Consider the following 25,716-nt stretch of genomic DNA (forward strand, 5'->3'; position numbering starts at 1 on the left):
CTAGTACAAGGTGCCATCAACTCTCACGTGAGTTATTGCAAGGACCTCCAAACTGGTCTCCCTGCTTTTATTTTTTGCCCTCTTCAATACATTCTCAAAATAGCAATCAGAGCACTCCTTTTATAATGCATGTCGGATCATGTCACTTTTCTCCTCCAAACTCTCCATGGATTTCTGGTTCACACAGAGTAAAAACCAAAGTCCTTAGGATAACCTCCAAGGCCCTACCTGATCATTCTGCTTGCCACTTTACCTGTCTGGTCTCATTTCCTACTGTTCTTCCTTTCACTTTACTCAGTTCCAGCCACACTGGGCTCCTTGCTATTTCTTGACTATATTAGAAACCATCTTTTCATTTTAGCTTTTCCTGCCTTGAATGCTTGTCCTCCAGATTTCCACATGGTTCGCTTTGTTACTGTCACTTCTTTTAAGTCTTCGTTCAAATGTCTCCTTTTCAATGAGGCCTACTCTGATTACAGTATTTAAAATTCCATATCTTCTTACCTTGTAATATATTCTTTTTCCTTTCCTTTCCTTTCCTTTCCTCCTTTCCTTTCCTTTCCTCTCTTCTCCTCTCCTCTCCTTTGTGTCTCCCTATAGCATTATTTTACCTTATAAAATACTGTGTGACTTTCTAATTATCTTTTTTTTTTCTGTCCCATTTCCACTAGAATGTGAACTCCACAAGGGCAGAATTTTGTCCTGTTTTGCTCACTGTTGTGTCCCTAGTGTGTGAAATAGGGCCTAACATGTAAGAGGTGCTCAATGCTTTTTTTGGTGATTGAATGCTATTGTTTGTTCATTTTTATTCCTGGATATATTCAATTCTATAAATATAACACGTTAATTTAAAACATGAATTCTGATTATGCACATTTAGTTTCCTTCCTTTCTTCTTCCCTCACCCATCACTTCTTCCTTCCTGCCTTCCTCCCTTCCTTCTTTTTTGCCACTATAAATAAAGCAGCTATGATCCATCTACAAGTGTGCTAGTATACGAAGTTTCTTTAGAGCGTAAAACCAATAGACAAATTACGGGCTAGCAGGACTTGCAGACTTCAACTTTATTAGATAATGAATGCCACACATTTTTAGTGTGGATTCACCAATTTGCATTCCTGTTTTTATTGCTCTACACCAGATGGACAAACTTCGTATTGCCAGAACATTTAATTTTTCGCCATCTGATGGGTATTATCTCATTAATAGTTACTACTTTAATTACTGGTGAGATTAAGCCTGGTGTCTGTGAGGATAGGTTAGGTTATGCTGCAGTAACAGATAATCTTCAAATCTCATGGGCTTAATGCAGTTCTTCACTGATGCAAAGTCTCCTATGGACTAAGACAACTCTCTGGGGCAACTTCTCCATGTAATAACTTGGAGGTCTAAGTTCAGGGAAACTCCATCATTCTGTAACTGTAACAATCTGGAACATGGAACTTTCCCATTTGGTGTGGTAGGGGAAAAGACAGCAGGGATGGATACTCGTGAGCCATCTTCAAATGCTTCCATCTGAAAGTGACATGAATTATTTTCAAATGCTAAACGTAAGTGTTTAAGATAGTCATATGGTAATATGACCCAGTAATTCTATTCCTAGGCATATACCTAAGATGGATGAAAATATACATCCACACAAAAAGTTGTACAGAAGTGTCAGTGGCAACATTCTTCATAATAACCAAAAAACAGAAACTGCCCAAATGTCCATACACTGATGAATGGATAAACAAACTGAGGTATATCCATACAATGGAATATTATTAGGCAATAAAAGGGAATGAAGTGCTGATAAATGCTTCAACACGATGATCCTTGAAAACATGATGCTAACAGAAGGAAGCCAGTTACTAAAGACCCCAGGATTTTATTTATATGAACTGTCCAGAATAGGCAAGTCCATAAACACAGAAAGCAGATCAGTGGTTGCCGGGGATGGAGGAAGCTGGTGAAAGGGGAGCGACTGCTAATGAGGAAGAGGTGCATTGTGGGGTGATGATAATATTTTGAAATTAGACAGTGGTGATGATTGCTCTGTTAGATACATTCACTCAATGTACTAAACCTAGTGAATTGTATGCTATAAAAGAGTGAACTTTATGATATATGAATAATAGACCAATAAAACTGATATTTTAAAAAATACTTTAAAAATAAAGTATATTTCTATATGCCATCAAGAAACAGAAAATGAAATATTTTAGAAATGCATCATTTAAAATGATTCCAAAAACATGAAGTTCCTGTGAAAAACATCTAACAAGATGTTCAGGGACTTTTATGGAAAAAATTAGATGAGATTTACATCTCATATTAGGGAAGAACTCAGTATATGGAGACAGATAGTCATACATTTTAGGACTGAATGATTAAAGGATATCAATTTCCTTTTCATTGTTATAGACTCAAAACAGTCTCAATAGGATCTCTATTAAATTCCTAACAATTTTTTTAGAACTTGACAAGCTGATTCTAAGATGTATATGGAAAGTCAAAACCCAAAGAATGCTAAAGCACTCTTGAAAAAGATGCAAAATGGGAGAATTTGTGCTATCGGATAGCAAGACTCGTTTTAAATCTGTAGTAATCAAGACAATGTTTCTTTATTATTTCTTTTTCCCTTCTACTTTCTTTGATTTTTTCTGTTCTAACTGCTTAAGTGAATGTTCGATTAAATGTTTTATTCTAACAGATTATAAAGGAATGATAGCACATTAATTTTCAGCCTTTCTTCTTTTTGAAAAGTATTATTTATGGCTTTGAGCTGCCTTCTACATACTTCTTTATCTGTGTGAAATAAATTTTGAGATACTGTTTTCACTAAGATCAGTTTAAAATAGGTTCTGATTTTCATATTTCTTTTTGCCCAGTTATTAACTTAAAAGTATTTTTCTGGTTAATTGAAACTTTAGTCAATTTGGAGTAAGCTTCTTGATTTCTAATGTTTCTTTTTGCATTAAAGCCTATTTTGTATGATATTGATATAACTCCACCAGCTTTCTTTTGTTCCGTATGTGCATGTTAAATCTTTTTTCCATCCTTTGCTTTCAGATTTCTACATACTTATTTTAAATGTGTCTCTGTATCCTATATCATTTTTCTGTCATTCTGCATTCAACCTTTCTATATTCTTATGTTTTAGATGTGTCTGTAGTAAACAGCATTTATTTCTTAAGGTATTTTAAATTCAATGTCTTTCCACTGGAGAATTTTGTCAGTTTACATTTAATACAATTACTGATATATTGAGGCTTGTATTTACTTTCTGCTTTCTTTATTTGCCCATAATTCTGGTTATTTTCTTTTTTATTGCCACATTTTAGGTTGATTATTTTTATCACTTCAAATTTTCTTTCATTACTTTAAGAGTTATACACTCTATTTCTATTGTTCAGTAACTACTGTGGAAGTTACCATATGAATCCTTAAGTTATCGAAGTTGAAAATGAATACACTTTGAGCACTAATGAGTACAGGAAAATACAGAGGCCTTAGCTTACTTTAACTTCATTTAATACTCTCTTGCCATATATTGTGAGCATCTTGAATTCCATTTATTTATTCAAATATTTATTGAGAGCTTACTCGGGGCTAAGCATTATTCTAGATACTGAACAAAATAGATGAGCATCCCTGTGCTTGTAAGACATAACAGAGTGCAAACAATAAACTTAATAGAGTAAATTATACCATATACTAGAAGGTAGTAAGTATATGGAAAAAAAACTAGAGCAAGGCGAAAGAGATTAGGAGTGCCGAGAGAGGGAGAAAGAGAATGAATGAGAGTGAGTGCACATAAGTACAAGTGAAAGTGAGTGAGTGTGCCCTAGCTTTGGACCAATACTGTCTATAAAGTTTGTGGGGACATATAAATGTTTTATCTATTTTCACTAGATAACAGCTGAAAGGTTTGAGCCAAATAGAGAGTCTCAGGTGCTTCTATAATGGTATTATAATAGGCTTTAAAAACGTGAAAAACTCATGTTTAAGAACAGCTGTTACCAACTATCTGTTTTGTGAGGGTGGAGGACAACTTAGTTTTTCTCAGAATTAATTATACTTTCTTATTGTAACTTTAGCCGCTGTTATTTGGGTCTCTAAACCTATACAAATTAAGAAGCTATGAACATGAGAGAATCAAACAATTAGATTTCTGTGCACACCAACAGAATTTCTGAACCAAAGTGGTTTGTGTTTAGGAGATGAAAGAGATGATAAATCATACACACACACATAGATAAACACACATATTATATGCATGTGTGTGCATGTGTGTGTGTGTATAAACACAGAGAGAAAACATACTGGCATACACATAAGCACCTGTTAATTGTAGTTGCTGTTATAGTAGTAAGATGTTATCTCTTAGAATTATGGTATACTTATCATATTAGACCTATCCAGGAGGTAGCTGGGTATCTAGTGTGGTGATACTATCTAGTGTGGTGTCTTGCAACAACACTGCTAGTCATAGGTCTGATTTGGGGGAGAAAATATTTTTTTAAGACAGTGTCTCGCTCTATCACCCAGGCTGAAGTGCAGTGGCATGATCATAGCTCATTGCAGCCTCAGTCTCTGGGTTCAAGCTACCCTCCTGCCTCAGTGTCCCCACTGCATGCTACCACACCTGGCTAATTTTTTCAAATTTTTAGTAGGGACGAAGTCTTGCTATGTTACACAGGGTGGTCTCAAACTCCTGAACTCAAGTGATCCTCCCGCTTTGGCCTCCCAAAGCGCAGGGATTACAGGTGTGGACCATCGTGCCAGGCTGGGAGAAAAGTTTTGTTGACACAACAAACAGGATGCAAAGAAACAATCTATAAAAACAGTAATTTAGGTAAGTGGCTTCTTGGTCTTTTGATTAATAGGATTCTAAACTTGCAAATCAATTCTTATGCAGGAGTTCTTATTGGCATTTACCGATGCTCTTTGGCTGATGTTTGTTTTTACTGACCAGAGGTTCTGTGGGAATCTCATTTATTAATACTTACAATGTGCTTCATATTCCTCTGCATCTTTGAGGGACAATTAAATGTCCACTCTATGGAATCTTTTATAATTTCCCAATCATAAGTAATTACTCTGATTTCTCCTAATTACCCTTTTTTCTAGGTAGTTGTGATTCTTTAAGTCTAAGACAGCATGGATTTTTAAGCTACACCACTGATATAGTTTGGATAATAGTCCCCTCCAAATCTCATGTTGAAACTTGATTCCCAGTGTTAGAGGTGAGTCCTGAAGTGGGAGGTGTTTAGGTCATGGAGCAGATCCCCAAAGAGTGGCTTGGTGACATCATCACAGTAATGAGCATGTTCTTACTCTATTAGTTCCTGTGAGCACTGATTTTTAAAAAGAGCTTGGCTTGTCCCTCCTCTCTCTTGCTTCCATGCTGTCACTATGTGATCTCTGCATGCTGGCTTCCTTTCCCCTCTCCTTTGCCTGCACTATGAGTGGAAGCAACTCGAGGCCCTCACCAGATGCAGTACAGGTGCCGGTGCCATGCTTCTTGTATCGCCTGTGGAACCATGAGCCAAGAAACCTTTTTTCTTCATAAATTACCCAGTCTCAGGTTTTCCTTTGTTACAACATGAATGAATTAAGATAACCATCATTTTTGTATCAGTAAAAAGAAAAAGCTCTGCGTATTTAACTATTATACAGTATTTTTTATCATTTAAAAATTTATACTTATTCAGATAGCTCACTAAGAATTATATATATAAACATTTTTATTTAAATCATGCCATTCTCATAAGGAAAGTATAAATCAAAGATTTCGGTTAAGGGATTCTTATTCATATTCAAAGTCTGTTTTTTTCAAGTTGCTTTTCATCTCAGAACTGTTGATGTAAATATTTTCCCAAACAGTATCATACTCTGGGCTATCAAGAATATTTGTGATACAGCAATTCAAAAAAGAATGCCTCACTATTGTTTCTGGGATTTTCTTCCAAGCTGGTTCATTTTGCTAATTTTGATGCGGCTTTTAACTGATCTTGTAAGATGTCAATATCGGGTTTTTTGGAGTTCATATTCTTTCCTCAAATGGTCTTTAAATAGTTTGTTGACCAAAATATTGATAGGTTAAAATTGTCCAGTTGGTCATTAAGAAAGTGTCCAGTTTTGATGTATGCAATCAATAACAACCAGATCACAGCTGCTACCAGGCCATCGGGAATTGTAAGATGCTATAAATTTAAACAATGATGCTGATGCCAGAGGTGTTAAAATGTTGTGAATCTTAAAACAGAAGACATACAATACTACTCTCTTCCTTTGTATTTCCTGTAGTTCAACTAAAAATCTCACCTTTCGTTGGCCCCTAGGACTTTGTGAGTAGCTATTTTCTCTGAAATCCCATAGTACTTTATTTAATGAAAGGAACTAAGTAATAATTTGGGGTGAAAATAATCCATGTACATGGTTAAAAAAAACTTACTTATGTATAAACCAGTAGCCCTCTGCTCTACTACCTACACTAAAGGGTATAACCTGACCCTAGGAACAACTAGTTTGAACCATTTCTGGTTTTAGTCCTTCTTCCTCTAGGGCTAAATTGTATGTTTATACTGTCTGCTTTTCTTTTTTTTTCATTTATCATTTAAGCAGATACCATAGTAGAAGATAATTTAGCCTACTCATTTCACCTCCTTTTCTTTTTTGCTCCTCCACATATATTAATTTTATGAGCTCCTTTATTGGTTACATTTGTCATTTCCACCACGATATTTGTTCCATTAACTACAGACAGTTTCTCTTGAACCCCTGCTTCATGAGTTTGGGATATTTCACCCTTTCTCCTCTCACCATCTCTCCTTGTATATTATAACACCTAAATCTGACAACTGTGTGGTGAGAGTATTGATAATATTTTAGGTTTAGTATTTGTTATTAAATTTTGTATTTTTGTCTATTGGTTGACCCTAAAAGTTGAAAAATTAATAAATAGCATTAAAGTTATTATGACCCTGTAAATGTTGTTTACTGCAGAATCAAGAAGTATTCTACAGTTACATTTCATTCAGTATGGCTCCTGAGCCACCCAAAGAATGTTCCTAGAATCAAAGTTAAGGAGATTCTTTCTTTCAAATGGATTATTTAATTCTAGCATTTGCTAAAAATTTGCCATATTTTCTTTTCATTCATATTTACATTGTGAATTTCTGTGACGCTTTTTCAAATTACCTTTATTTTTTCTTATTGGGAAAGCATATGTGGGCCTTCCTGGTTTCATCCTTAATAATTTTCAGCTTTTTACTTTCTTTATTTTTTTGAATGCATTTTCTTCCTTTTTTTTTTGAAGTCCACTGACTCATATTCTAGTGGCTTCAATTTTGAATTATGACTTCCTTTTTCCCTGGTGTTTATTCTGTTTTTATTTTATTTTCAAGTTTTTTTCTGGCTTCAGGATTATATTATGTGTCAGGTTGCCTTCCATCTCCACCTTCCTCCTTGCCATCTCCTTTTGGGGGCCATCTATACTACAGCTGCTATCTGGACTAGTCATTTGAAAGTTTGCAGAGCCAGCAAACTTGTTTGTAACCACGATTTCCTGAATGTGTATGTTTTTGTCGTTTTTGGTTTTCTCCTCATTTTGCTGGAATACTTTATAAAATTACTTCTGGCAAATAAATTTATACTATATAAATTTTGTAAGCCATTACATTACTAAAAGTATATTTGTTTCTCTCGGATACTTCTTTGACTGGATGTAAAATTCTAAACTGAAAAGAATTTTCTATAAGTCAGTTGCTGGATTATTTTCTAGTATTCGGTGTTTTGGGATGAAACATTTGTTTTCCATTCTCTTTCTTACTCCTTTAGTGATTTTTTTCTTCTCTGGAATCTTTTCTTATATTCTTTTTTTCTTTGTTGTTTGGTAATTTCTTAATTATATGTTTAGGAATGAATCTGTTTCCATTCTTCTTTCTTGGAGCCTGGTAGCCATATTTTTCACTTTGAACACTTGTGCCTTTTATCTCTGGGAAATGTGCCTTTTATCTCTTGTGCCTTTTATCTCTGGAAACACTTGTGCCTTTTATCGCTGGGAAATTTTCTTGTATTTTTTTTGTGTGATTATTTTCTCCTTTCTATTCTTTTTTTCTGGAAGTACTGTTGGTTGGATTTGGGTCTCTTGGATTTATTTTTAAGTGACTTCTTTTTCTTAAACATTTATTTCCTGGTTTTTTTTTTTTGCCTTTGGGGGGAAATGTTAATTATGCATTTTTTTTAAAACCATTGAAATTTTTTTTTTGTACTATGCATGTAATTTTCAAAAGCTCTTTCTTGCTCTCATTATTCCTTTGTTATTTTATGGATCCAAAACTTTCTGAAATGTCTCTGCCAATACTCATTAAAGATTTGTTAAAGCTTTTTTTTTTTTCTTTAATTTATCCCTGTGTCCCTGGTGGTTAGTTTCCTTTTTACTTTCTTTTTATAAAAGAAAAATTTAACACAATGCTAAAGACTTTCTTCATGTCTTTGTGTCTCCATTCAGCATGGCTGTTAAATGAAGAAACAGGAAGAATGTGACTTCTGTGCATATGGGCAGTGTTTTATCAACTGATAGGCTTCATGTTAGGCACTCAATCAAAGAGCTGCCATTTATGCTAAAGGCCTGTTGCCTAAATGTCAGGGCTTTACCATACCGGTGCCAAGTTTACATGAAAAGCTCAAGTTCTCAAACAACTTGTACTTTTTCCTCCTTTAACACATAGGAGTGTATACTATAATTTTTAAATTGTCTTTGGCCATTTGACACCTTTGAATACTTTGCTCGTGTTTGAGGAATTTCCACTTAATAAGCCCCTGTTTTCCCAAGCTTCCTGGCAGTCTGCCTGTAGAGTGTGAAGTAGGCTCCATCAGTTAGAGGCATTTGTGCCAGATTTTAGATCAGAAGTGTGGGACATGAAAGGGCAGATGAGCTCCCCGGAGCTCAGAGGTAGTAGGCATTGAGGTTTCAGTCATAACATGCAGTATCCTGGTATGGTGCAGGGCTGTCTTCTCTAGAGCAATTCTGCATGGGATTTTGGGTGTGGTCTTGGCTGTGTGCTTTTCTAGCTTGGTTCTCTGGCACTCACTGAGGTTCGGAGAGCTACCCAGTAAACTTTAATAAATTTCTTTCCTGCTTAGACTAGTCAAAGTTCATTTCAGTTGTTTGTTAGTCACTCTCCTGACAGTTACATGGAGCTAGTTTAGCTGCTGTGCAATGTTTGTGAGGAGGTGAATTACATACGCAGATATTACATGTGCAGACCAAAATGGCCTCTCCTTTTAGCCCCACCTCACCCTCCTGCCCTTATCATTTAGAACATCTGCAGGTTTGTTTTCTCATTGTTGACAGCCTATTCTCCAAATATCCTATGTAGTTACTACCTTTGTTATACCTCATTAGTCTTTGCTAATTGATATGGTTTGGATATTTGTCCCCTCCAAATCTCACGTTGAAATGTAATCTCCAGTGTTGGTGGTGGGGCCTGGTGGGAGATATTTGGGTCATGGGGTGGGTCCCTCACGAATGGCTTGGTGCCCTCCCTGTGGTAATGAGTGAGTTCTTGCTCTGAGTTCATGCAAGATCTGGTTGTTAAAGGAGCCTGGCATCTTCTTCCACCCTCTCTTGCTCCCCCTTGCCATGTGATGCACCTGCTCCCCATTCACTTTCCACCATGACTGTAAGCTTCTTGAGGCCCTCACCAGAAGCAGATGCTGGCCTCATGCTTCCTTTATAGTCTACAGGACCATGAACCAAAATAAAACACTTTTCTTTATAAATTACCCAGTCTCAGATATTCCTTTTTAACAATGCAAGAATGGACTAACACACTAATGTTTTAGAAATTTGTTTTTCTCTTTTGCTGCTGATCGCTCTCTCATTCACTCTTGTAGTGGGTTGATATTATTTACTTTACTATAATTTTCAAGGTATCTCAGGAGGGAAAGATCAGTTTGTTCAGTTTACCATTTTTTTTTGAGACAGCATCTCACTCTGTCACCCAGGCTAGAGTACAATGGTGCAATTTTGGCTCACTGTAATCTCTGCCTTTCAGGCTCAAGCGATTCTCATGCCTCAGCCTCTTGAGTAGCTGGGATTACAGGCATACGCCACCATGCATGGCTAATTTTTATATTTTTAGTAGAGATGGGGTTTTTCCAGGCTGGTCTCGAACTCCTGGCCTCAAGTGATCCGCCTGCCTTGGGGTTCCAGAGTGCTGGGATTACAAGCATGAGCCACCGTGCCTAGTCCCAGTTTACCATCTTGAACCTGAAGTCCCACTGGTATTATCGTGCTTTGACATGTAAAAAAATTAATAAAATGTTATTTCTTAAAGTAAATAAATTTTAATTATTTTCTACATTTCTAGCATCACATGTGGTAGCTTGCATTTTATTGAATATCTGGTTAATATTTAAATGAGTCAATTTATGTAGAGCTTTTAGATTACACCGTAGGTAAGATGCCTACTCTGACTCAACTTTGTTGACTTTATGGTACCCACATCTGTGAATCATAGCTTATCCTTATGCATTTTTTAGGAATTAATATGTGACAAGTTCACACAGAGTAATATCAGGAATTAAAGTACTTGAAATTATGTTTTCCAAGTGACAAATATTTATGCCAGGATGTTGGAAGGTTTTTTTTTTAATTAAAAAATAATTTAAGTCTTTAACAGCTACTTGATGGGAATAACATGACCAATTTATATTCCAAGTGAATAAATAAAAGTTAACATACTTAAAATGACAAGGCTACTGGAAATAGATCAGGCTATATTTATTTTGTTAAATTTTTGATACTTGAAGAAATAGTGTTTTTCAGTTGCATTTAAATTAAATGTTTAAATGCTTATTTAAGTGAGAGATAGACAGATGCTTCTCTAACAAAAAGTAAAAGCAAAAATTAGTGGCATTTGGAGCTCATTGAGTTAACTCATCAAAGCAACATTATTGTCAGAATTGCTTTTCTTACTCATAAACTTTCCTACACACTCAGAGATTTTTTGAGATCAATGGAGCAAGTTGTAAATAATTTTATTTCTGCTCAAACACTGATTGAGACTGTTCTGTTTTATATTTAAGTAGAATTTGATAGGTAAAAATAACACAAATAATCCTTTACAATAGAAATTAAACAGTCTGATCTTCCTTTGAAAGCCCAAATTATGCTTATTCAGTAGAATATAGATTTGGATTTTTTCTTCATAGTAATAACTGAAGAGTAAGCATGATTAATATGCTTACTGTGCTGGGCATATTATGCAAATTAAATTACTGCTTGCATACCCATACATCATGGATGTATCATTTAGATCAGACTGTGGATTTGTCTTTGTATACTTTATACAGATTTCTTCAAATATTTGTATATTTCAACATAGGCTTTTTTTTCTTTTCATTTCTTTCTAAATTCCTAAGGGCTGTTTTTCTTTTTAAACGTGAGAATAAATATCTACATTAATTATTTATTATATACTTTAATTGATTCAACAACTATTTATGAGTACTTACGATGTTCCAGAGAATATATTAAAATACTTGTTTTTCAGAAGTCTAATATGGATGAGAAACATTGTGCCTATTCTTTTTTTTTTTTTAAATTGTACTTTAAGTTCTGTGATACATGTGCAGAATGTGCAGGTTTGTTACATAGGTATACACATGCCACGGTGGTTTGCTGCACCCATCAACCCGTCACCTACATTAGATATTTCTCCTGGTGCTATCCCTCCCCTAGCCAGCCACCCCCCGACAGGCCCTGGTGTGTGATGTTTCTCTCCCTGTGTCCATGTGTTCTCATTGTTCAACTCCCACTTGTGAGTGAGAACATGCAGTGTTTGGTTTTCTGTTCCTGTGTTAGTTTGCTGAGAATGATGGTTTCCAGCTTCATTCATGTCCCTGCAAAGGATATGAACTCATCCTTTTTTATGGCTGCATAGTATTCCATGGTGTATATGTGCCACATTTTCTTTATCCAGTCTATCATTGATGGCCATTTGGGTTGGTTCCAAGTCTTTGCTGTTGTGAATAGTGCTGCAATAAACATGTGTGCATGTGTCTTTATAGTAGAATGATTTATAATCCTTTGGGTATATACCCAGTAATGGGATTGCTGGGTCAAATGGTATTTCTGGTTCTAGATCCCTGAAGAATTGTCATACTGTCTTCCACAATGGTTGAACTAATTTACACTCCCACCAACAGTGTAAAAGCGTTCCTATTTCTCCGCATCCTCTCCAGCATCTTTTGTTTCCTGAATTTTTAATGATCGCCATTCTAACTGACATCAGATGGTATCTCATTGTTGTTTTGATTTGCATTTCTCAAATGACCAGTGATGATGAGCTTTTTTTTCATATGTTTGTTGGACACATAAATGTCTTCTTCTGAGTAGTGTCTGTTCATATCCTTTGCCCACCTTTTGATGGGGTTGTTTGTTTTTTTCTTATAAATTTGTTTAAGTTCTTTGTAGATTCTGGATATTAGCCCTTTGTCAGATGGTTAGATTGCAAAAATTTTCTCCTATTCCGTAGGTTGCCTGTTCACTGTGATGATAGTTTCTTTTGCTGTGCAGAAGCTGAGCTGTTTAGTTTAATTATATCCCATTTGTCAATTTTGGCTTTTGTTGCCATTGCTTTTGATGTTTTAGTCATGAAGACTTTGCTCATGCCTATGCCCTGAATGGTGTTGCCTAGGTTTTCTTCTAGGGCTTTTATGGGTTTAGGTCTTACATTTAAGTCTTTAATCCATCTTGAGTTAATTTTTGTATAAGTTGTAAAGAAGGGGTCCAGTCTCAGTTTTCTGCATATGGCTAGCCAGCTTTCCCAACACCATTTATTAAATAGGGAATCCTTTCCCCATTGCTTGTTTTTGTCAGGATTGTCAAAGATCAGATGGTTGTAGATGTGTGGCATTATTTCTGAGGCCTCTTTTGGTTCCATTGGCCTATATATCTGTTTTGGTACAGTACCATGCTGTCTTGGTTACTGTAGCCTTGTAGTATAGTTTGAAGTCAGTTAGTGTGATGCCTCCAGTTTTGTTCTTTTTGCTTAGGATTGTCTTGGCTGTGCAGGCTCTCTTTTGGTTCCATATGAAATTTAAAGTAGTTTTTAAAATTCTTTAAAGAAAGTCAATGGTGGCTTGATGGGGATAGCACTGAATCTATAAATTACTTTGGGCAGTATAGCTGTTTTCACAATATTGATTCTTCCTATCCATGTGCATGGAATGTTTTTCCATTTGTTTGTGTCCTCTCTTATTTCCTTGAGAAGTGGTTTGTAGTTTTCCTTGAAGAGGTCATTAGGTATTTTATTCTCTTTGTAGCAATTGTGAATGGGAGTTCACTCATGATTTGGTGCTCTGTTTGCCTATTATTGGTGTATAGGAATGCTTGTGATTTTCACACATTGATTTTGTATCCTGAGACTTTGCTGAAGTTGCTTATCAGCTTAAGGAGATTTTGGGCTGAGACGATGGGGTTTTCTAAATACACAATCATGTCCTCTGCAAACAGAGACAATTTGATTTCCTCTCTTCCTATTTGAATACCCTTAATTTCTTTCTCTTGCCTGATTTCCCTGGCTAGAACTTCCAATACTATGTTGAACAGGAGTGGTGAGAGAGGGCATTCTTGTCTTGTGCCAGTTTTCAAAGGGAATGCTTCCAGCTTTTGCCCATTCAGTATGATATTGGCTATGGGTCATAAATAGCTCTTATTATTTTTAGATATGTTCCATCAATACCTAGTTTATTGAGCGTTTTTAGCATGAAGCAGTGTTGAATATTATCGAAGGCCTTTTCTGCATCTATTGAGACAATCATGCGGTTTTTTTTTGCATATAAATATAATAGAATATTATTCAGCCTTAAAACGGGGTGAAATTTTGATACGTGGTACAACATTGATAAACTTTATTTTATTTTATTTTATTTATTATTATTATTATACTTTAAGTTTTAGGGTACATGTGCACAATGTGCAGGTTAGTTACATATGTATACATGTGCCATGCTGGTGTGCTGCACCCATTAACTCGTCATTTAGCATTAGGTATATCTCCTAATGCTATCCCTCCCCACTCCCCCCACCCCACAACAGTCCCCAGAGTGTGATGTTCCCCTTCCTGTGTCCATGTGTTCTCATTGTTCAATTCCCACCTATGAGTGAGAATATGCGGTGTTTGGTTTTTTGTTCTTGCGATAGTTTACTGAGAATGATGATTTCCAGTTTCATCCATGTCCCTACAAAGGACATGAACTCATCATTTTTTATGGCTGCATAGTATTCCATGGTGTATATGTGCCACATTTTCTTAATCCAGTCTATCATTGTTGGACATTTGGGTTGGTTCCAAGTCTTTGCTATTGTGAATAGTGCCGCAATAAACATACGTGTGCATGTGTCTTTATAGCAGCATGATTTATAGTCCTTTGGGTATACACCCAGTAATGGGATGGCGGGGTCAAATGGTATTTCTAGTTCTAGATCCCTGAGGAATCGCCACACTGACTTCCACAATGGTTGAACTAGTTTAGAGTCCCACCAACAGTGTAAAAGTGTTCCTATTTCTCCACATCCTCTCCAGCACCTGTTGTTTCCTGACTTTTTAATGATTGCCATTCTAACTGGTGTGAGATGGTATCTCATTGTGGTTTTGATTTGCATTTCTCTGATGGCCAGTGATGGTGAGCATTTTTTCATGTGTCTTTTGGCTACATAAATGTCTTCTTTTGAGAAGTGTCTGTTCATATCCTTTGCCCACTTTTTGATGGGGTTGTCTGTCTTCTTCTTGTAAATTAGTTTGAGTTCATTGTAGATTCTGGATATTAGCCCTTTGTCAGATGAGTAGTTTGTGAAAATTTTCTCCCATTTTGTAGGTTGCCTGTTCACTCTGATGGTAGTTTCTTTGGCTGTGCAGAAGCTCTTTAGTTTAATGAGATCTCATTTGTCAATTTTGGCTTTTGTTGCCATTGCTTTTGGTGTTTTAGACATGAAGTCCTTGCCCATGCCTATGTCCTGAGTGGTAATGCCTAGGTTTTCTTCTAGGGTTTTTATGGTTTTAGGTCTAACGTTTAAGTCTTTAATCCATCTTGAATTAATTTTTGTATAAGGTGTAAGGAAGGGATCCAGTTTCAGCTTTCTACATATGGCTAGCCAGTTTTCCCAGCACCATTTATTAAATAGGGAATCCTTTCCCCATTGCTTGTTTTTCTCAGGTTTGTCAAAGATCAGATAGTTGTAGATATGCAGTGTTATTTCTGAGGGCTCTGTTCTATTCCATTGATCTATATCTCTGTTTTGGTACCAGTACCGTGCTGTTTTGGTTACTGTAGCCTTGTAGTATAGTTTGAAGTCAGGTAGAGTGATGCCTCCAGCTTTGTTCTTTTGGCTTAGGATTGACTTGGCGATGCGGGCTCTTTTTTGGTTCCATGTGAACTTTAAAGTAGTTTTTTCCAATTCTGTGAAGAAAGTCATTGGCAGCTTGATGCGGATGGCATTGAATCTATAAATTACCTTGGGCAGTATGGCCATTTTCACGATATTGATTCTTCCTACCCATGAGCATGGAATGTTCTTCCATTTGTTTGTATCCTCTTTTATTTCCTTGAGCAGTGGTTTGTAGTTCTCCTTGAAGAGGTCCTTCACATCCCTTGTAAGCTGGATTCCTAAGTATTTTATTCTCTTTGAAGCAATTTTGAATGGGAGTTCACTCATGATTTGGCTCTCTGTTTGTCTGTTATTGGTGTATAAGAATGCTTGCGATTTTTGTACATTGATTTTGTATCCTGAGACTTTGCCGAAGTTGCTTATCAGCTTAAGGAGATTTTGGGCTGAGACAATGGGGTTTTCTAGATATACAATCATGTCATCTGCAAACAGGGACAATTTGACTTCCTGTTTTCCTAGTTGAATACCCTTTATTTCCTTCTCCTGCCTAATTGTCCTGGCCAGAACTTCCAACACTATGTTGAATAGGAGTGGTGAGAGAGGGCATCCCTGTCTTGTGCCAGTTTTCAAAGGGAATGCTTCCAGTTTTTGCCCATTCAGTATGATATTGGCTGTGGATTTGTCATAGATAGCTCATTATTTTGAGATATGTCCCATGAATACCTAATTTATTGAGAGTTTTTAGCATGAAGGGTTGTTGAATTTTGTCAAAGGCCTTTTCTGCATCTATTGAGATAATCATGTGGTTTTTGTCTTTGGTTCTGTTTATATGCTGGATTACATTTATTGATTTGTGTATATTGAACCAGCCTTGCATCCCAGGGATGAAGCCCACTTGATCATGGCGGATAAGCTTTTTGATGTGCTGCTGGATTCGGTTTGCCAGTATTTTATTGAGGATTTTTGCAGCAATGTTCTTCAAGGATATTGGTCTAAAATTCTCTTTTTTGGTTGTGTCTCTGCCTGGCTTTGGTATCAGGATGATGCTGGCCTCATAAAATGAGTTAGGGAGGATTCCCTCTTTTTCTATTGATTGGAGTTGTTTCAGAAGGAATGGTACCAGTTCCTCCTTGTACCTCTGGTAGAATTCGGCTGTGAATCCATCTGGTCCTGGACTCTTTTTGGTTGGTAAGCTATTGATTATTGCCACAATTTCAGATCCTGTTATTGGTCTATTCAGAGATTCAACTTCTTCCTGATTTAGTCTTGGGAGAGTGTATGTGTCGAGGAATTTATCCATTTCTTCTAGATTTTCTAGTTTATTTGCATAGAGGTGTTTGTAGTATTCTCTGATGGTAGTTTGTATTTCTGTGAGATCGGTGGTGATATCCCCTTTATCATTTTTTATTGCATCTATTTGATTCTTCTCTCTTTTTTTCTTTATTAGTCTTGCTAGCGGTCTATCAATTTTGTTGATCCTTTCAAAAAACCAGCTCCTGGATTCATTAATTTTTTGAAGGGTTTTTTGTGTCTCTATTTCCTTCAGTTCTGCTCTGATTTTACATATTTCTTGCCTTCTGCTGGCTTTTGAATGTGTTTGCTCTTGCTTTTCTAGTTCTTTTAATTGTGATGTTAGGGTGTCAATTTTGGATCTTTCCTGCTTTCTCCTGTGGGCATTTAGTGCTATAAATTTCTCTCTACACACTGCTTTGAATGTGTCCCAGAGATTCTGGTATGTTGTGTCTTTGTTCTCGTTGGTTTCAAAGAACATCTTTATTTCTGCCTTCATTTCGTTATGTACCCAGTAGTCATTCAGGAGCAGGTTGTTCAGTTACCATGTAGTTGAGTGTCTTTGAGAGAGTTTCTGAATCCTCAGTTCTAGTTTGACTGCACTGTGGTCTGAGAGACAGTTTGTTATAATTTCTGTTCTTTTACATTTGCTGAGGAGAGCTTTACTTCCAACCATGTGGTCAATTTTGGAATAGGTGTGGTGTGGTGCTGAAAAAAATGTATATTCTGTTGATTTGGGGTGGAGAGTTCTGTAGATGTCTATTAGGTCTGCTTGGTGCAGAGGTGAGTTCAATTCCTGGGTATCCTTGTTAACTTTCTCTGTCGTTGATCTGTCTAATGTTGACAGTGGGGTGTTAAAGTCTCCCATTATTATTGTGTGGGAGTCTAAGTCTCTTTGTAGGTCACTCAGGACTTGCTTTATGAATCTGGGTGCTCCTGTATTGGGTGCATATATATTTAAGATAGTTAGCTCTTCTTGTTGAATTGATCCCTTTACCATTATGTAATGGCCTTCTTTGTCTCTTTTGATCTTTGTTGGTTTAAAGTCTGTTTTATCAGAGACTAGGATTGCAACCCCGGTCTTTTTTTGTTTTCCATTTGCTTGGTAGATCCTCCTCCGTCCTTTTATTTTGAGCCTATGTGTGTCTCTGCATGTGAGATGGGTTTCCTGAATACAGCACACTGATGGGTCTTGACTCTTTATCCAATTTTCCAGTCTGTGTCTTTTAATTGGAGCATTTAGTCCATTTACATTTAAAGTTAATATCGTTATGTGTGAATTTGGTCCTGTCATTATGATGTTAGCTGGTTATTTTGTTCATTAGTTGATGCAGTTTCTTCCTAGCCTCGAAGGTCTTTACAATTTGGCATGATTTTGCAGTGGCTGGTACCAGTTGTTCCTTTCCATGTTTAGTGCTTCCTTCAGGAGCTCTTTCAGGGCAGGCCTGGTGGTGACAAAATCTCTCAGCATTTGCTTGTCTGTAAAGTATTTTATTTCTCCTTCACTTATGAAGCTTAGTTTGGCTGGATATGAAATTCTGGGTTGAAAATTCTTTTCTTTAAGAATGTTGAATATTGGTCCCCACTCTCTTCTGGCTTGTAGAGTTTCTGCCGTGAGATCCGCTGTTAGTCTGATGGGCTTCCCTTTGTGGGTAACCCGACCTTTCTCTCTGGCTGCCCTTAACATTTTTTCCTTCATTTCAACTTTGGTGAATCTGACAATTATGTGTCTTGGAGTTGCTCTTCTCGAGGAGTATCTTTGTGGCGTTCTCTGTATTTCCTGAATCTGAATGTTGGCCTGCCTTGCTAGATTGGGGAAGTTCTCCTGGATAATATCCTGCAGAGTGTTTTCCAACTTGGTTCCATTCTCCAAGTTGGTCACTTTCAGGTACACCAATCAGACGCAGATTTGGTCTTTTCACATAGTCCCATATTTCTTGGAGGCTTTGTTCGTTTCTTTTTATTCTTTTTTCTCTAAACTTCCCTTCTCGCTTCATTTCATTCATTTCATCTTCCATCACTGATACCCTTTCTTCCAGTTGATCGCATTGGCTCCTGAGGCTTCTGCATTCTTCACGTAGTTCTCGAGCCTTGGCTTTCAGCTCTATCAGCTCCTTTAAGCACTTCTCTGTATTGGTTATTCTAGTTATACATTTGTCTAAATTTTTTTCAAAGTTTTCAACTTCTTTGCCTTTGGTTTGAATTTCCTCCTGTAGCTCGGAGTAGTTTGATCGTCTGAAGCTTTCTTCTCTCACCTCGTCAAAGTCATTCTCCATCCAGCTTTGTTCTGTTGCTGGTGAGGAACTGCGTTCCTTTGGAGGAGGAGAGGCGCTCTGCTTTTTAGAGTTTCCAGTTTTTCTGCTCTGTTTTTTCCCCATCTTTGTGGTTTTATCTACTTTTGGTCTTTGCTGATGGTGATGTACAGATTGGTTTTTGGTGTGGATGTCCTTTCTGTTTGTTAGTTTTCCTTTTAACAGACAGGACCCTCAGCTGCAGGTCTGTTGGAGTTTGCTAGAGGTCCACTCCAGACCCTGTTTGCCTGGGTATCAGCAGCAGTGTCTGCAGAACCGCGGATTTTCGTGAACCGCGAATGCTGCTGTCTGATCCTTCCTCTGGAAGTTTTGTCTCAGAGGAGTACCCGGCCGTGGGAGGTGTCGGTCTGCCCCTACTGGGGGGTGCCTCCCAGTTAGGCTGCTCGGGGGTCAGGGGTCAGGGACCCACTTGAGGAGGCAGTCTGCCCGTTCTCAGGTCTCCAGCTGCGTGCTGGGAGAACCACTGCTCTCTTCAACGCTGTCAGACAGGAACATTTAAGTCTGCAGAGGTTACTGCTGTCTTTTTGTTTGTCTGTGCCCTGCCCCCAGAGGTGGAGCCTACAGAGGCAGGCAGGCCTCCTTGAGCTGTGGTGGGCTCCACCCAGTTCGAGCTTCCTGGCTGTTTTGTTTACCTAAGGGAGCCTGGGCCATGGCGGGTGCCCCTGCCCCAGCCTCGCTGCCGCCTTGAAGTTTGATCTCAGACTGCTGTGCTAGCAATCAGCGAGACTCCGTGGGCGTAGGACCCTCCGAACCAAGTGCGGGCTATAATTCTCCTGGTGCGCCCTTTCCTAAGCCTGTCGGAAAAGCTCAGTATTCAGGTGGGAGTGACCCGATTTTCCAGGTGCCGTCTGTCACCTCTTTCCTTGACCGGGAAAGGGAACTCCCTGACCCCTTGCGCTTCCTGAGTGAGGCAATGCCTTGCCCTGCTTTGGCTCGCGCACAGCGCGCTGCACCCACTGTCCTGCACCCACTGTCTGGCACTCCCTAGTGAGATGAACCCGGTACCTCAGATGGAAATGCAGAAATCACCCGTCTTCTGCGTGGCTCACACTGGGAGCTGTAGACCAGAGCTGTTCCTATTCGGCCACCTTGGCTCCTCCCCCCATCATGTGGTTTTTGTCATTGGTTCTGTTTATGTGATAGATTATGTTTATTGATTTGTGTATGTTGAAGCAGCCTTGCATCCTAGAGATGAAGCCGACTTCATCGTGGTGGATGAGCTTTTTGATGTGCTGCTGGATTCTTTTTGCCAGTATTTTATTGAGGATCTTTGCACCAATGTTCATCAGGGATATTGGCCTGAAATTTTCTTTTTTTGTTTTGTCTATGCCAGGTTTTAGTATCAGGATGATGCGGGCCTCATAAACGAGTTATGGAGGAATCCCTCTTTTCCTGTTGTTTAGAATAATTTCAGAAGGAATGGTACCAGCTCCTCTTTGTACCTCTGGTAGAATTCGGCTGTGAATCTGTCTGGTCCTGGGCCTTTTTTGGTTGGTAGGCTATTAATTACTGGCTCAATTTCAGACCCTGTTTTTGGTCTATTCAGGGATTTGACTTCTTCCTAGTCTTGGGAGGTGTATGGGTCTAGGAATTTATCCATTTCTTCTAGATTTTCTAGTTTATTTGCATAGAGGTGTTTATAGTATTTTCTGGTGGTAGTTTGTATTTCTGTGGGATCAGTGGTGATATACCCTTTATCATTTTTTATTGTGTCTATTTGATTCTTCTCTCTTTTCTTCTTTATTAGTCTGGCTAGTGGTCTATTTTGTTGATCTTTTCAAAAATCCAGCTCCTGGATTCACTGAGTTTTTGAAGGGTTTTTCGTGTCTCTATCTCCTTCAGTTCTGCCCTGATCTTAGTTATTTCTTGTCTTCTGCTAGCTTTTGAATTTGTCTGCTCTTGCTTCTCTAGTTCTTTTAATTGTGATGATAGGGTGTCAATTTTAGATCTTTCCTGCTTTCTCTTGTGGGCATTTAGTGCTATAAATTTCCCTCTAAACACCGCTTTATATATGTCCCAGAGATTCTGGTACGTTGTGTCTTTGTTCTCACTGGTTTCAAAGAACATCTTTATTTCTGCATTAATTTCATTATTTACCCAGTAGTCATTCAGGAGCAGGTTGTTCAGTTTCCATGCAGTTGTGCAGTTCTGAGTGAGTTTCTTAATCCTCAGTTATAATTTGATTACACTGTGGTCTGAGAGACAGTTTGTTATGATTTCTGTTCTTTTGCATTTGCTGAGGAGTGTTTTACTTCCAATTATGTGGTCAATTTTAGAATAAGCGCGATGTGGTGCTGAGAAGAATGTATATTCTGTTGATTTGGGGTGGAGAGTTCTGTAGATGCCTATTAGGTCTTCTTGGTCCAGAGCTGAGTTCAAGTCCTGAATATGCTTGTTAATTTTCTTTCTTGTTGATCTGTCTAACATTGACAGTGGGGTGCTAAAGTTTCCCACTATTATCATGTGGCAGTTTAAGTCTCTTTGTAGGTCATTAAGAACTTGCTTTATGAGTCTGGGTGCTCCTGTATTGGGTGCATATATTTAGGATAGTTAGCTCTTCTTGTTGCATTGATCCCTTTACCATTATGTCATGCTCTTTTTTGTCTTTTTTGGTCTTTGTTGGTTTAAAGTCTGTTTTATCGGAGACTAGGATTGCAACCCCTGCTTTTTCTTTTTTGCTTTCCATTTGCTTGATAAATATTCCTCCATCCCTTTATTTTGAGCCTATGTGTCTCACATGCAAAGGCATGTGAGACTGGTCTCCTGAATACAGCACACTGATGGGTCGTGACTGTTTTTCCAATTTGGCAGTCTGTGTCTTTTAATTGGGGCATTTAGCCCATTTACATTTAAAGTTAATATTGTTATGTGTGAATTTGATCCTGTCATTATGATGCTAGCTGGTTGTTTTGCCCATTAGTTGATGCAGTTTCTTCATAGTGTTGATGGTCTTTACTATTTGGTATGTTTTTACAGTGGCTGGTACTGGTTTTTCCTTTCCATGTTTAGTGCTTCCTTCAGGAGCTCTTTTAAGGCAGGCCTGGTGGTGACAGAATCTCTCAGCATTTGCTTGTCTGTAAAGGATTTTATTTCTCCTTCACTTATGAAGCTTAATTTGGCTGGATATGAAATCCTGGGTTGAAAGTTCTTTTCTTTAAGAATGTTGAATATTGGCCCCCACTCTCTTCTGGCTTGTAGAGTTTCTGCAGACATATCCACTGTTAGTCTGATGGGCTTCCCTTTGTGGGTAACTTGACCTTTCTCTCTGGCTGCCCTTGACGTTTTTTCCTTCATTTCAACCTTGGTGAATTTGACGATTATATGTCTTCAGGTTGCTCTTCTCGAGGAGTATCTTTGTGGTGTTCTCGTATTTCTTGAATTTGAATGTTGGCCTGTCTTACTAGGTTGGGGAAGTTCTCCTGGATAATATCCTGCAGAGTGTTTTCCAACTTGGTTCTGTTCTCCCCATCACTTTCAGGTACACCAATCAAACATAGGTTTGGTCTTTTCACATAGTCCCATATTTCTTGGAGGCTTAGTTCATTTCTTTGCATTCTTTTTTTTTAATCTTGTCTTCATGCTTTATTTCATTAAGTTGATCTTCAATCTCTGACATCCTTTCTTCCGCTTGTTCAATTTGGCTATTGATACCTGTGTATGCTTTACAAAGTTCTCATGCTGTGTTTTTCAGCTCCATCAGGTCATTTATGTTCTTCTATATACTGGTTTTTCTAGTTCGCAATTCCTCTAACCTTTTTTCAACATTCTTAGCTTCCTTGCATTGGGTTAGAACATGCTTCTTTAGCTCAAAGGAGTTTGTTATTACCCACCTTCTGAAGCCTACTTCTGTCAATTCATCAAACTCATTCTGTTCCCTTCCTGGTGAGGAGTTGTGATCCTTTAAATGAGAAGCGGCATTCTGGTTTTTGGAATTTTAAGCCTCTTTGTGCTCGTTTTTCCTCATCTTCATGGATTTATCTAACTTTGGTCTTTGATGTTGGTGACCTTTGAATGGCGTTTTTCTGTGGAATCCTTTTTGCTGATGTTGATGCTATTCCTTTCTGTGTGTTAGTTTTCCTTCTACCAGTCAGGCCCTTCTGCTGCAGGTCTGATGGAGTTTGCTTGAGGTTCACTCCAGACCCTGTTTGCCTGGGTATCACCAGCGGAGGCTGCAGACCAGCAAAGATTCCTGCCTGTTCCTTTCTCTGGCAGCTTCGTCCCAGAGGGGTACCCACCAGATGCCAGCTGGAGCTCTCCTGTATGAGGTGTCTGTTGACCCCTGCTGGGAGGTGTCTCTCAGTCAAGAGGCAGGGTGGTTAGGAACCCATTTGAGGAGGCAGCCTGTCCTTTAGTAAAGCTGAAGCGCTGTGCTGGGGGATCCACTGCTCTCTTCAGAGCCATCAGGCAGGAATGTTTAAGTCTGCTGAAGCTGTGTCCACAGCCACATTCTTCCCCCAGGGAGAATGCTGTGTCCCAGGGAGATGGGAGTTTTATCTATAAGCCCCTGACTGGGGCTGCTGCCTTTCTTTCAGAGATGCCCTGCCCAGAGAGGAGGAATCTAGAGAGGCAGTCTGGCTACAGAGGCTTTGTGTGCAGCAGTGGGCTCCACCCAGTTCAAACTTCCCAGAGACCTTGTTTACACTGTGAGGGGAAAACTGCCTATTCAAGCCTCAGTAATGACGGACATTCCTTCCCCCACCAAGCTTGAGTGTCCCAGGTCGATTTCTGCTGTGCTGGCAGGGAGAATTTCAAGCCAGTGGATCTTAGCTTGCTGGGCTCCATGGGGGTGGTATCCGCTGAGCTAGACCATTTGACTCCCTGGCTTCAGCCTTTCCGGGGAAGTGAACGGTTCTGTCTGTCTTGCTGGCATTCCAGGCACTGCTGGGGTATGAAAAAAAAAACTCCTGCAACTAGTTTGGTGTCTGCCCAAATGGCTGACCACTTTTGTGCTTGAAACCCAGGGCCCTGGTGGTGTAGGCACCCGAGGGAATCTCCTGGTCTGTGGGTTGGGAAGGCCATGGGAAAAGCATAATATCTGGGCCAGAGTGCACTGTCCCTCACGGCACAGTCCTTCATGGCTTCCCTTGGCTAGGGGAGGGAGTTTCTTGATCCCTTGCACTTCCTGGATGAGCCAACGCCCCATCCTGCTTCAGCTCACCCTCCGTGGGCGGCACCCACTGTCTAACCAGTAGGAATGAGATGAGCCGGGTACCTCAGTTGGAAATGCAGAAATCACCTGCCTCCTGCGTTGATCTCCCTGGGAGCTACAGACCAGAGCTGTTCCTATTCAGCCATCTTGCCAGCCACCCCCGCCTGTTCTTTTTTTGTGTTCTTCTTGCTAAATTTATTTAGCATGAGAACAGCAATAGCATGTTCTCACATAAGAAGCTGACTAACAGAATGCACAGCATATAAAAAATGTGCTATTTGTATAGAAATAATTTGTCAACTTCAGCAATCAGTTTGAGACCCACATATCACCTGGATGAATGGTTCTCCTGCAGAATCTGATTCAGAGGAAAGAGTCATGTGGTGCGGTGACTTGAAAGAGCTGTGGTGAATAATTGAATTCTAAGAATGGCCACAGTAGACTCCCTGTTAATATTTCTGAAAAGTAGGGTTATGGAGCACATATTATTAAACTGTTATTTTTAATAGACATCTTATACTTGTATCTGGTCTGTAAGACCAGTCATATTAGTGTACATTTTTCAATTAGTTTACTTTGGAAGTGGGCACAGGGGTCTACACTGCTCAAATCTGTAATTATAATTACCTTATGATAATTTATTATGGCAATAATGGGAATTTGCTTATTTTTCTTTGAAAAATGTTTTCAAGCTATACTTGTTTCTGCCATGATAGAGAACTTTTGCAACATTCATTTTTGTTGTGAGAGTAGAGCCACAATGATTTTCTAATGAGAATTGATTAAGCCCTTTCCTTACCCTAGCCCAGTTCTAAGTATTGTCAGTGGTGATTGGGATAGAGGGTAGTCTGTTTGGCATGTTTCCATGTCATGTGAGGATGTCAACCCTCCGTCTTTTTGAATGACTGCTAAGGCACATTACTCCTTTTAACTGTCAACAGAGAATGACTACTACTGTGGTCTGAATGTTTGTGCCACCACAGAATTCATATGTTGAAACCTAATTACCAATGCAATAGCATTAAGAGGTGGGGCCTTTAGGAGGTTATTAGGTCATGAGGGTGGAGCCCTCATGAATGGGATTAGTGCCCTTATAAAAGAGGCTGCAGCGGAGCTTGTTCACCCCTTCTGCCATGTGAAGACATGGCAAGAAGGCACCATCTATGAGAAGTAGTCCTTCACCAGAGATTGAATCTGCTGGCATGTTGATCTTGGACTTTCCAGCCTCCAGAATTGTGAGCAATACATTTCCTTTCTTTATAAGCCACTGAGTTCGTGGTATTTTGTTATAGCAGCCCAAATGAATGAAGAAAACTGCATTCCAGGGGAATGTTAGGCAGTATTATCTCACCTCTTCATAGTGTGATGTCTGTGACTGGCTCAGTTCATGCAGCTCTACTTGTGGAATGTGCATTACATTTATTTATCTATATCAGGAATTCTTAATCCTGGAGAAATTTCAAGGGATTGTTAACCCCTTGAAATTATAGCCCTAATTTTAGTTGTATGTGCTTCCTCATGGCGTTGATACACTTCTTTCACCAAATTCTCAGTCAGGTCCATGTTCCAAAAAATGG

The 25,716-nt window shown here is 38.7% G+C and overlaps 1 protein-coding gene across 6 annotated transcripts in view, besides 1 other annotated feature; it reads left to right on the top strand.

Annotated features, from left to right (window-relative positions):
• Positions 1-25,716, top strand: part of LEPR (leptin receptor) — a 220,908-nt gene that overhangs the window by 110,226 nt on the left and 84,966 nt on the right. The window lies entirely within an intron of this gene.
• Positions 23,298-23,944: an enhancer, noted in NCBI's record as "H3K27ac-H3K4me1 hESC enhancer chr1:66019858-66020504 (GRCh37/hg19 assembly coordinates)". NCBI's record gives its function as "activates a minimal SCP1, AML or CMV promoter by ChIP-STARR-seq in naive H9 embryonic stem cells {active_cell/tissue: H9 hESC(naive)}" and the evidence as "EXISTENCE:reporter gene assay evidence [ECO:0000049][PMID:30033119]".

This window comes from Homo sapiens, chromosome 1, assembly GCF_000001405.40.
Source record: "Homo sapiens chromosome 1, GRCh38.p14 Primary Assembly".
Lineage (NCBI taxonomy): Eukaryota > Metazoa > Chordata > Mammalia > Primates > Hominidae > Homo > Homo sapiens.